Source organism: Homo sapiens, chromosome 3 (genome assembly GCF_000001405.40).
Source record: "Homo sapiens chromosome 3, GRCh38.p14 Primary Assembly".
In the NCBI taxonomy this organism is placed as follows: domain Eukaryota; kingdom Metazoa; phylum Chordata; class Mammalia; order Primates; family Hominidae; genus Homo; species Homo sapiens.
This window is the reverse complement of record NC_000003.12, coordinates 189,120,832-189,133,320: the sequence shown is the minus strand read 5'-3', so window position 1 is coordinate 189,133,320 and position 12,489 is coordinate 189,120,832. Positions and strand designations below refer to the sequence as shown.

Here is a 12,489-nt window from a genome sequence, read left to right as displayed (position 1 = left end):
CTCTGGAGTTGGCACTATTATCTTCCCATAACGTTACTACTTCTTCTCTCCCTGTCTCCCTAGCACACAGCATAAGACTTCAAATCTTCATCCTGGCATTCAAACTCTTTCCAGATCTGATCCCAGTCTCTTTCCAGTTTTATTTCTTCTACTTCCTTATTTGTATGTTACATTTCAACCTAAATTAGACTCATTGCTAAATCCTGAATACACACAGGCCTTTCTTTACACTAGTCTCTCCTCTGGTAGACCATTCATCAAGACCCACCTCTGTTTTCCTTGCACCATCATGGTATCATGTTTTTCCTGTTTTCAGTACATATTTCCGTTCATAGTGTCATGGTATGTGTACTGGCCCCGCTTCCTCATTAGAAGGTCCTCATGTTGATTATATCTCCATCCCCCACAGAACTTAGCTCAGTGCCTGGAAACAAGTCTCTTCCAGAAAAAACTAACTTACATTATTTGAGGAAAAATAGACATACTACACTGGAACTGAAGACCATCATACTAAAACTTTTTAAAATAAACAGCTTTGGCTAAAGATGAAAGTATTTCCATGCAGCTTCAAATCAGATTTGAGTAGCTGATTCTCCAGACAAACGCTAGGAAAATTGTTTTACCTGTTTTCCCGCCTGACAGTTCAGTGGCCTAAGTTGCTTTGAAGTCTATAAAATGGCCAGTATCTCCAATCTGAGCAATGTTTCCTTTCCAGACAGGAAGACTGCTGCTAAGTACAGAAGCCACGCTTGTTTTTGCGGTCGGGCTGCAATGGTGACTCATCCAGTAAAGCCAGAGACTGTCTGTTTTGATCTTTCACTGTTCAGAGACTCTTTACAGTTGTAATTTGCTTTCTTTCTCTCTCTCCCTCATCACCTCTGGTGACTTATCAGAAGGGTCGCACACATTTGACAAACGGAACCTGTATAAGGAGAGAGAGAAAGCACGCGATCAAACACGCTTTCAGCTAACGCCCAGGAATAGATGCTTGTGTTTACAGCTCTGATGATAGGGTTCCAGTAATGACTTGGCCTTTTTCTCCTTGATTGAATATTCCCTTGGGCCTGCCAGTCCAGGCTCCTGTTATTTAATGAGGACATTGGAGCACAACATCAAGATGTCTGCAAAAATGACCTTTCTTTTGGGCTCACTCCAAATGCAAAGAAAAGAAGAGACCAAGTTAGACAGGGTGGTTCTGGAATACAGCTTTGGAATTTGTCCTTTTCCCAGAAGTTCAGAATCAGGGAGTCGTGCACTATCAGAGCCAGAGAGAACCATGGAGATGATCTAGTTAAAAGTTTCATTTTTCACATGGAGAAACTGAGGACTAGAGAAGAAAAGCAAGTTGCCATAAATCACATAGCAGTCACAGCAAATCTTAGTTAGTATTCCTTTGAATAGCTTGAGACAGAAATTAACCATTGGCTAAACGTTGGCTTTAAATAAAAAAGAAGCTTTCCTTAGTTTCTCCTGAGTTATACTGTGGCACTATTATGCTCTCCTTTTCCTTCTCAAGGAGATGAGAGACAAGCAGCACAAGCATAATAATATGCCTCTGGCTATAAGTTCAATGTCTCACTCTTAGCTTTGAAAGCCAATATAGGATAAGGATAAAGGTCAGTGCTGAAGGGTCTTAATGAGGACAATCTCAGAGGTCCCAGATCTGCCTCATTCACTGTGTATCTGCATTTTGGCTTCACCTGCAAAATGGGGGATTCGTTTATTGACTGAGCATTCTTAGAAAGTTGAAATGAGAAAATATGATCAGAAAGTGCTCAGTAATATAAAGTCCTACTGCATTTGTGAGAAGAATTATTATTATGTTATCAACTGCTATCTACATGGTCTTGTTTCCTTCAAGATGGAGATTTTATATTCTCAAATTATTGTAATTTTGCCTTTTAGTGAGCTTTTTTCTAGACAACTATATATATATAAACACACATATAGATACACGTATATACACGTATACATATACACACATGAATATTTATATATAATTCCAACATTAGAATGTATCATATTTACATAATATCTTAAATGATATTGCCTTTTTGTAATGTATAGAAGTAACTCATTAGGGATTTCTTTAGCACCAATTTAAACACTGAAGCCCAAGTTGGAATCTCCCTGAGCCCTCCCATCAGTGAAATTACTACATAATCGCTGCTCCGATTTAAAACATTTTTTAGAGTAAAAGGTAAGATTATTACTAATTATGCTGCCAAAAAGGATAAATCTGAACTGTTCTGGGCAAAGTGGGACATACGATCACGTTACTTAGAGTTGTGCAGAATTTTAGGTATTTTACCGGCCAGAGGTAACATGGCATGAGGTAAAAAGTACACATCTCATAATCAGAAGTTTTGGATCCTAGCTCAAGATCCACCATTGTTAGCAAAAATCACATATGGCCCTGAACCTCACTTTCCTCTTCTCTAAAACGCAGGTCATTCCCTGCATCTCAAACTCAGGTTATGACCTGCATTTGAGGAAGAATGTAAATGAAAGCCTGTTATAGCTGGAATATATAGCTCTACTGTTGGATTTTTTAAATAGTACTTTCAAATGGATTTTTTTAACAGACATTGGTACTCTTCACATCACATTATGAGTGTGTCCTAAGCAGTTCATATTCTGCCAGAATATATAAATGGTTGCTTGATAGTAGAGCCCTCACACTCACAGAAGGGAATCTACATTTGCCTCTAGTTTCATCCTATTACAGTCCATGTCAAGGGACTATTGGTGTTCTCTTTCATGCTGTTGTTCAGTTTTATTAACTACTGGTTAAAATAATCTGCTACGTTTTGACCATGCCAGGCCATTTTCCTCTGATAACATTTGAGTTACTGAGATTATACCTGTAAGGTCCATTTTAGGCCAGTTAAGAAAGCACTGAGAATAGAAGTTTAATTTTTTCAGGTACTACATGTAAGTTAATTCACCATTTCCTTAATGAGGAGCAATGTTTGAATTCTCTGAAGCCTCATAATCTCTCCCAGGCAGAAAGGAATCATGGATCCTAAAGACAGTCAAAATAGTTATTGTCTAGTTGAGTTCTTCTTTCTATAAATTATGAGAAAGATCTCATGGTGCTTATAACCCAACATACTCGGTACTATGCATGTGCCTAGAACCCATGGCACATGATGTATGTGCCAAGATCTGTACATACATCATGATCATCTGGTTGAGGATATTCTATATTACTCAGAGCTGAGCTTGCCATGAGTGCTTGATAACTGCATTACAATTCACTTATCATTGCCATAGTCATCAACATAATCATTTATCAGTTCAACATTCAGCTGAGAAGTTTTATTATCCCTCTTATGAAGAGTACCTTAAGTATTATCTTTGATTTATCAGCCTCCATGAGATTTTTTGTGCATTTCTCTTTCCTTCACAATGCCTAACACAAGGCCCTGTATAGAAGTAAATGTTTGATCAATGTTAGTAAAATAAGTAAAATTATTTTCATACTCCTTCCACTGTGCACATGAAACAATCATAACTTTACCATAGCTCAAAATCCTATACTTTTTTCTTCATCTGTGCTTTAGTGAAAAAAGCAATAGTCTTGGACTTAAAATAACTGAGCTTAAATAAGGAGTGAAGCGACAACTCTTTCCAACAGAGAGTTTCAGTTAATAAATATAGAGAAAATGAGGAAAATAGAAAATGACCATTACAACATCATAATAACAATGGCAACAAGCAAGATCCACCACAAGAGGCTAAAATTAGTTAATGAGGGAAAGTTTAAGTATAAACAGCATATTTTTATAGTCTCAAGTGTCACTTCTCAAAATATTTAGTAATAACAAAGGGGGAAACAGCAAATTTACAGTGGAAAAATCCAGCAGATGCCATCTTAACCAAGTGATCAGGGTTAATGTCACCAATAATATATATCAACATAATATACCTGGTATCACAGCCTGAGAAGGACGCATCCCTGCTGTGGTATCTTTTGCAATACCTTCAGTATAGTCCCAAGAAAAGATCAGAAAAACCAAAATTGAAGGACATTCTACAAAATAACTCATCAGTACTCTTCAAAAGTGTCACAATCATGAAAGAAAAGGAAAAACTGTGAGAAACTGTCACAGATGGCAGGAGACCTGACAACTAAGGCAACGTGGGACTCTGAATTGGAGCCTAGGAATAAGAAAGGACATTTGTGAAAAAATTGATGAAATATGTATAAAGTCCATACTTTAGTGAATAGTACTAAAGTTAATTTCTTAGTTTTTAATCATTGTTCCACGGGTAGATAAGATGTTAACATTAGGAGAAGTTGCTGCTGCTGTTGTTTTTGTTTTTGTTTTTCCTGAGTCTAAAATTATCTCAAAATAAGAAGTTTAAAAGATAACTGAGTTGGGCCGGGTGCGGCAGCTCACGCCTGTAATCCCAGCTACTCAGGAGGCTGAGGCAGAAGAATCGCTTGAACCCGGGAGGTGGAAGTTGCAGTGAGCCGAGATTGCGCCCTTGCACTCCAGCCTGGACAACAAGAGCGAAACTCTGTCTCAAAAAATAATGCTAATAATAAAATAACTGAGTTGAAGAGCCAACACTGACACCTACCAGTGGCATGTCCTTAGGTAAGTTACCTAAGCTCTCTCAGCCTAATCTTTCATTATCACTAAAATTAGAGAAATAGTACCAACATTTTGTTGATATGAGGTCAAAATGAGATAAGGAACATGAGGGCACTTCGAAAATTATAAACCCTTATAAAAATATCTTTATTACTTCTTAACTCTTTGACCTTTTCATCTCATTCAACTACAGTTGCCAGATAAAATATAGGACTCCAGTTAAATTTGAATTTCAGATAAACAACTTTTTTAGTATAAATATGTTTCATGTTATGGTTGAGACATACTTAAAACAATTTTTTTCTTTAGATGCCCTGTATTTTTATTTCCTAAATCTGATAAACCTACCTTGACCTGACTTCCAATACTCTGTCCCTTTCTTGAAGGTGTCTTCTTCCCTCCTCCAGGCCGTCTTTGCACAATACTGACAGCTCTGGTACAATGATTCCATGCAAGGGCCATGGCGGCCCATGCTCCAGGAGAGCTGCACAAAGGTTCATCTATCACAAGACTCTAGCAAAACGAATTCATTAAGAGTACACGACAAACAGGAATTTTCCCTTTCTGACTCATCTTGCAATTGTGCAAAATTTATTTTAAAATTTTTAAGTTATTTTTACTTCTCACTCCCCACAAAAGCCCAATGATAAAAATACTGTGCAGATTTTTTAAGCTGTGAGGAAAGATCAAAATCAGCAACAACCTATAAGATGGTCCTGGTAGACTAAAGTAGGAGCCCACCTCTTGGGACCTGTAGTGAGGTTTTGGGGAAAGAATGAAAGAGAAGAGGAGGAAGACTTTGAACACAACATTTTTACATATACCAGCTAAGCATATAGGGAATTATGCTTAACTTCACTTTCCTAGTGAGAAACTGAGTCTGAGGGAAGACAACTTAGACTCTACCTCACAAAGGCCATTGATTTCATACTTCTTTCTCTTCCATAACATCTGGACCTCAAGGTTCTACCCAGAGGCCATCTCTTTTGTGAGTTTACCTCCTTTATTCTCCAAATCAAGTATGGTTTGTTTTTCTCTGAATCTCCACATTGCTATAAAAAGACCTTAAGACCTTTACCTGGGAGTATAGCCACATGTTATTCACATTGTATTGATATCTCTTATTTTGGTCTTAAGGACAAAGGTTGTGTCATGTTCATGTCAAGATGCCCTACGGTATCTCCAAAGCAAACGTGACTTTCAAAATTGAAAGTTGAGAGGCCCATTGACCACTAACTTGGCACATTGGTTATAATATACACTGTGGCAGATACAATTTTAACTTGTGTCAATAGTTTCCATTTGTTAACATATGTCAGCACCTATATGATCTCTAAAATCCTTCTAGTTCTGACATCTTGCCTTTTAGGATCCCAGTTTTTGATGGAGCAGACACCTAAGTAATGGTTTTGTGGCCTCAATGCTATTCTGGCTACTGAAATCAAATTCCTATAGGCATCATAATTTTCCTTTTTGGTTGCCACTCCCATAGTTCCTTCTACTCACCTTGGAGGTATATCAGAAATATTATCAAGGATCTTCTGTAAGGGATGATCCAGACTCTGAGGACTCTACGGAGTGAAGAGGAACAGGCTTTCTGTGAATCAACAGCATGAAATCTCTGGGTGTCTTTTTGCACAGGCCATCCTCATAAATAATCCTGTCTCAAAGGGAAGATGCAGATTTGTAATTACTGACAGCTTAGAGGTCAGAAGCTCTAAGTTTATATGTTGTTTTACAGGATATTCCTGCTGGATTTAAGTCTAGAAACTGGATTCAAACCCTAGATCATCATCACACTCATCTTTCTGTACTTCTGGTTAGCAATTATTTCACAATGAAATCGTGTGAATAAGAGCTGTCTTTCTTTCCCTACAGGGTTTGGTAGGAATCAAATAAGATACAACTAGCAATAATTTATAGAATACATAGCAAACACCAGGTGCCAAGGTAAACACTTCACTTGTATCATTTAATCCTTCTGATGTCCTCATAAATTTGGAGGTCCAATTTCCATTTGAACAATGAGTAGATCTAAGCTCAGCAAGCTTAAGCAAATTATACAAGGTCATAGAGCTAGGAAATAATGGAAATGGAATTCAGACACATTTTGCTGCCCCAAAAAACCACACTCTTAATCACATGCACCCATTTCCCATATAAAAATGCTTTAAAATCAGAAAGCCTCATACACATGAAGGAATTCTCACTTAACCCTCACAACATACCAGGGGATAATAAGGCAGGTATTTTTTCCCAATTTATAAATAACCAGTGGCCAGTCTTAGTGACATCGAGCTAATAAGTGGCAAAACTAGGAGTTAAGCCTATTTATTATCTTGTTCTCTGAGCAGATTCCCTTAACTAAGGAAAGAAGAAATAACCTTCAAGTTCTGTCTGAAAGCAGAGTGGTATTTTTTTAATACTAGAAGAAGGTCATGCCACCTTATGAGAATATAGCTCTACCCTCCATGTATCTTCTGAGTCAAATTGACTTATTTTATGTGGAACAAAGAGTTTTCCTGGTGTCAGCACCTCATTGCCCAAAATGGACTTTTCTCTGTCTCATGCATCATCCCCCAAACCAAAATTGTCAGTAAAGTCCCACTTCCAGGATTTTTATTATCTATAATGATGCTGTGAACTCAGGAAAAGAGCCCAGCTCTCTTCCAGGCATCGGCAGTGCTTATAGAGCTGGCAGGGAGAAATCCACTTTGTACTTTGTCAGAAAAGTTAATCTGATATGAGACAATAAAGATGGAGTGCCATCAGGGTGATGTTCTTACAGAAGCATTTTTTTCTGATCACTAAAGACATTTTAAAAAATAAAACTAAATATACCAAACACACACACACACACACACACACACACACACACACACACACACACACACACACACACAAAACACCCTGCAGCTCCATCTTCTGAATAGGCAATGGAATCTCTCAATGAGAAAAATAAGTCTGATATAAAGAATTCTGCAAAGGAGGAGGATGGTCTTTTCTGAGATCTGGGGCCCCTGAGCTGGCAGAATCCTAACATGGGGCTTGAAGGTGATACTTCCTTTGTACCTGTTGATTAAGAAGACATATGAATAGAGAGACCAAAGAAGGATTAATTGGGGGAGGAGTTGTTTACATGAAAGCTGTGGCTTTTTATTTCTTTGCCAATCTCCTACCTTTTTGGACCTCAAAAGGGGTGGGGTGGAGAGAAAGAGGAATTAATCAGCTATAAACAGACAACCCTGGAAGAAGATCATATGGTCTGACAGGCCCAGGGCTCAGTAAATAATAAGCACCTTCATTTAATGTAGTACTTTATAAATTCACTGTGTAATTTCTATTATATCATTTCTTTTGATCCTCAAAAACAATACGGGAGGTTAACTGGGATTAATATCTCCATTTGACACCTGAGAATACTGAAGCCAAGGGAGAAAAAGAAACTTGCCCGAGGTTATATGTCTTGTTTGTGGAACAACAAGGATTTGACTTGCTCTGACTCTATAATACAGGTTTCCCTTCCAATGCTACATTATTATCTTAAAGTAAACATTAAAAACAATAAGAAAACTTTTTGTCTGAGTATAAGCAGACTTTTTTATGTAGTTGCCTAGAAATTAATTAAATAAATCATCCAATATTGGAAAACAAGAAGTAAAAGCAAACATTCAGAGCGAAGAGAGACCTAAAAGATTACCTACTAAATTGAAGGTAGAACAGATTAAAGTAAATCACTTAAGATCTCATTGCAAGATCTAATACTACTTTGGTCAAAAGTTTATTTAACTTTCAAGCTAATAAATTAAAAGTTTGGATTTATTTAACATGGGTTATTGTATAGAAAGATAGGTCTAGACTCTGCCATCATTTACCCATTGAACAATTTCTTATCTTGCTCCATGCCAGTAGTGGACCTTCCCAAATTGAATGTGAAAATATTTCAGTAGTTTGGTTTTATGGAGGAAAAAATAAAGATTACTATTTTTAGCAATGCCCATGAAATAACAAATGTTCATGTAAGATAAATAGTTTCCTCATACATAAAGTGGAGAGGACATTGCCTCCTGCTGCCAAGATTATTAGAGTATTAAATGAGTTAATGAAGAAAAGCTATATTAATATATGTACACGTATGTGTGTGTGTGTATATATATATACACACACACACACACAAAGTCCTTTGTTCTTAAAAAAAATGTCATAATATGTATACGTGAAACAAAAGAGAAAGCCCTTCTTCTGAGGGGATCTAGCAGAAGAATAATCTAAACTCTCTTGTTAATCTATGTCTTTCACTTTCCCCATCTCCCAGGGTTGTCACAGTACAGTTTGAAAGCCATTGCTTTAAATCACCATACAGGATGGAGCTTTTGTCACCCCTTCTGAGCTCCCCTTGCACTTTAAATATGCTTCTTTTCTAAGCCACTATGTTTTATTGCCACAAGGAATTTCTCTGCCTGCTTCTTCCGTTAGACTGAGGCTCCTTAAAGACAAGCACCATGTCTTATTCTGTGTACCTACTCCAGAGCCTCCCCAAAGCTGTCTCTGGCACACTGGAACTCATTAATTCATGTGCTCTGAATGAACACGTGAATTAGTGAGTCAATGAATAATAAGTAACTTTAAGAAGGTAATATTCTTAAAATATTACCTGAAAAAGCTGAATAATCAGAACACGTACAACGAAGTAAAGACAAGACTCTGCTGCATTACTCTAATGCATTTCAAATCCTAAACAATCATACAGCAGTACCACCTCTAATTGGCAAATAGGTGAGTTGCCAGCCTTGATGGGCCTGCCACGGCTGGCTGGCCAGGGTCTGAGCGAGAGAGACTCCAGAGCACATTTCCCGGGCACATTTCCAGTCCCAGGGAGAATCACTCCTGTCAAGTTTATCAGCCAAATCCTCCCGATTACCAGAGGTCAAGAGCACACGCAGCAAAGCATTTCTCTACTCGCTTAGGCCAAGGAGAGACTTGATAGAGTGCCAGCAAGTACAATGAATGTTGTACCTTATAAATGCTGATAAGACAACATGTTCCTTTTAGCATTAATTGCTTCATTCAGAAGAAGCCATTTAAAATCCGAGTCTGGTCTTTTTCCTTGATGAGCAATTTCAGGCTGCCTACCAAAGCTTTTGTTTGTTGGGAGGAGAGAGGAAGAGAAAGCATTTTGTTAAGGCATTTTAATTTTCATATTTAATGAAACAGATTGGGTAGCAGGTTCCTTTCATTTTATTTTTCTGTTCCCTGAATACCTTCTTGTACATTACACATTCTGCCGGAGCTTCCTGCAAGAACTTTTCTACATTTCACAAGTTAAGGCTGTCAAATGTTACCCACTGAATCAAATATATTTCTTGCACCAATATTCAGCTATTATTATTGTAACAGACCAATCATAAATCTCAAAGCTGGAGAGAAAGGGAACATGTACTGATGTTTCTCCATATTCTCTTGAGCACATAAAATTATATAACTCTCTAAAGCCCTCTTTTTATTGCTGCATCTAAAATGTTTTGCATGCTTTACAGGATAAATTCTTTAAAGGGGCTATTTCTCTTCAGTAAAGGAGAATTAATCAATCCACCAGAAATGTTATTTGTTTTAATTAATTAGCAGAGATGTAGAGAAAAACACCACTGGACTGAAGTGAGAAGGCAAGCTCACTCATTTCAGCTATTATTTATTAGAGCGTTTTCACTTTCATTCTCCCTGATACAAGGAGGACAAAGCATTTGCCTGTTTTTAGAACAAAACTAGAATAGTGCCTGGCACATAATAAGAGCTCAATCAATATTTGTGCATAAATGAGTAAGATAATCTAACTATTTGACTTAGTTCCTCCGGGCCTCAATTTTTTCATTTGTTAAAAAACCAAAAGGACTGATAATCTCTGTATTTCTTATCTCACATAGTTACCGTAGGAACAAATGAGATAAATGATGGCTTTGTGAAACTGACAACTTATGCACATAAATAAGGGAGCAGCATCATTAGTAATAGCAGCAGGTCTAAGCCTAACCTTGTGAACTTGGCCAAGACATTTCAATTATCTGGGCTTTTGTTTCACAACGATAAAAGGACAGGGTTGGACTAGATGATCTGTAAGTTTTCTTCTAGCTCAAACTAACTAAGATCTTTTAACCAGTCAACAAAGACTCCTTTAATACCCATGCTACGCAAAATACTCTTCTAGGAAAAAAATGCCCAGGAATAATCCAAGAGATTTCAAAGATAAATTAAAACCAATAACTTTTCTAAAATACTTTGTCCTGGTTATATTTTGAAATATAAAAGCAGGCCATTGGGGAAAAGCATAGGGAGATGTGAAAACCAGATTTCACAAGAAAAGTCATTTGGGAAAATCAAAAATTGAGTTAGCTTCTGGTATGCATCTTGTGGAGATCATTCTGACCTTCCAAACTGCTTGTGTAACAAACTTGGATTTAACATTTGGTGTTGGCTTTTACAATCTACCTAATGAGAAATATCTTTAAAAAGAGTAAGAACATGCTGACTAAAAACATTCAGAAAAGACGTCGGAGAGAAAGTGAAAGAAAGAAGGAATATAAATATACTATTGTCATTTAAACAAGCTACTAGTACTTCATGTGAATGTATAGACAACTCAAAGCAATTCTAGGCATGTGTGCATACATACATACACAAACACACACACACAGCTAAGGGAACCAACCCATCAACAAACATAAATTGTATATAAATACTAGATACTAAAGAAAATTAGACATATAAAAACACTGCTTTCTCTCAAAGGCAATTACAAGATCCTGCATGATATAAGGCCAAATATCTTTTCAACATAACATGTCCAATTTAAAATCATACCTTTACTCCTTGAATCTGCTCTTCTTCATTGGGCCTATTTTGAAAAATTTTATCTCAATCCATCATATTTTCTACACAAACCAAAAAACACAAAAGCTTTTCTTGATTCCTGCTCTCTCGCTTCCTAAGTCCAAGGAGTTATCAGGCCTTATTGTCCCAAATGACCCCCATCAAGTCCAAAAGAGGGCATGGGGAAACCTCTGGAAGGAAGAGTACATTTGTCAGGATAGATCAGGCTCTGCTTCAAGAACAAATAATTCCAGTAATAGCAGTAGCTTAGCACAACAAACATTTACTTCTTGTTCAATTACAGTCTGATATAGATTGGTTCTACTCAGTGGTTCTTCTAAGCTATGAGTCAAAGATTCAAGTTGCTTCTGCTTTTTAGCTACAAAATAAACAATCCTGTCTTCCAAATTCAACATAAAAAAGAGAAGGAGGGGTACAGAATATGTCAGAAATTTTTTAGAGCTCAAGGTTTTTTACTCACATTCCATTGGCCAAAATTCCATCACATAAAACTCAGTCCTAACCTAACCTCAAGGAGGCTGAGAAATATTGTCTTCCGGAGTATCCAGGAAGAGGAAATGATGTGGTAAAACAGGGCATTGTCTCTGCCACAAGGGCTGTTACGTAAATTAGATTATTTACTCTACCTAAAGAGATTTTTCAGGTACTAAAATCTACAAACTCTCAGGTTTATCTACCTAACTGACAAAATCCTTTCATAATTAAACTCTTTCTATAATTGTTTTGGTTTTATCCTCTAAGAAAATAAAAATTTAGAGATCTGTATCTTTATTTTCACCTACCACATTCTGGGACAGAAGATTTTTGCTCAATGTAGTACTGCGTCATCTAATAATTTACCTTTAGCTTTCCCACACATGTCCTTAATTTTAATTGAATAAAATGCTTTATTATTTATCTAAATTTTCCCACTTCCTGCACATTCCTCTGAAACTGCAGAAATACTAACAAGACCTGGTCTCAGATGGGGTGTGTGACCATGAGAAGAATTTAGAAGATT

General features: G+C 37.0%; 1 protein-coding gene across 19 annotated transcripts in view, besides 3 other annotated features; it reads right to left on the bottom strand.

Annotated features, from left to right (window-relative positions):
- TPRG1 (tumor protein p63 regulated 1) overlaps window positions 1–12,489 on the bottom strand; it is a 328,078-nt gene that overhangs the window by 191,984 nt on the left and 123,605 nt on the right. For 3 of the 19 annotated variants that reach the window (XR_007095669.1, XM_047448031.1, XM_024453477.2), the window contains exons 1-4: window positions 11,460–12,019; window positions 9,621–9,742; window positions 6,111–6,264; window positions 624–922 (exon numbers count right to left, since the gene is read on the bottom strand). The gene's annotated coding sequence lies outside the window, so the exon portion shown is untranslated. Of the gene's footprint in view, window positions 1–623; window positions 923–3,346; window positions 3,429–3,931; window positions 3,986–4,952; window positions 5,118–6,110; window positions 6,269–9,620; window positions 9,743–11,459; window positions 12,020–12,489 lie in introns of those variants that run through there. The other 16 variants (XR_007095667.1, XR_007095668.1, XM_047448028.1 and 13 more) reach the window with 14 other exon arrangements.
- Window positions 319–1,518: an enhancer, noted in NCBI's record as "CDK7 strongly-dependent group 2 enhancer chr3:188849592-188850791 (GRCh37/hg19 assembly coordinates)". NCBI's record gives its function as "activates an origin of replication core promoter dependent on BRD2, BRD4, P300/CBP, MED14 and CDK7 cofactors, with strong dependence on CDK7, by STARR-seq in HCT116 cells {active_cell/tissue: HCT116}" and the evidence as "EXISTENCE:reporter gene assay evidence [ECO:0000049][PMID:35650434]".
- Window positions 812–881: an enhancer, noted in NCBI's record as "active region_20976". NCBI's record gives its function as "activates an Ori minimal core promoter by ATAC-STARR-seq in GM12878 lymphoblastoid cells {active_cell/tissue: GM12878}" and the evidence as "EXISTENCE:reporter gene assay evidence [ECO:0000049][PMID:35858748]".
- Window positions 4,107–5,306: an enhancer, noted in NCBI's record as "BRD4-independent group 4 enhancer chr3:188845804-188847003 (GRCh37/hg19 assembly coordinates)". NCBI's record gives its function as "activates an origin of replication core promoter dependent on BRD2, P300/CBP, MED14 and CDK7 cofactors, and independent of BRD4, by STARR-seq in HCT116 cells {active_cell/tissue: HCT116}" and the evidence as "EXISTENCE:reporter gene assay evidence [ECO:0000049][PMID:35650434]".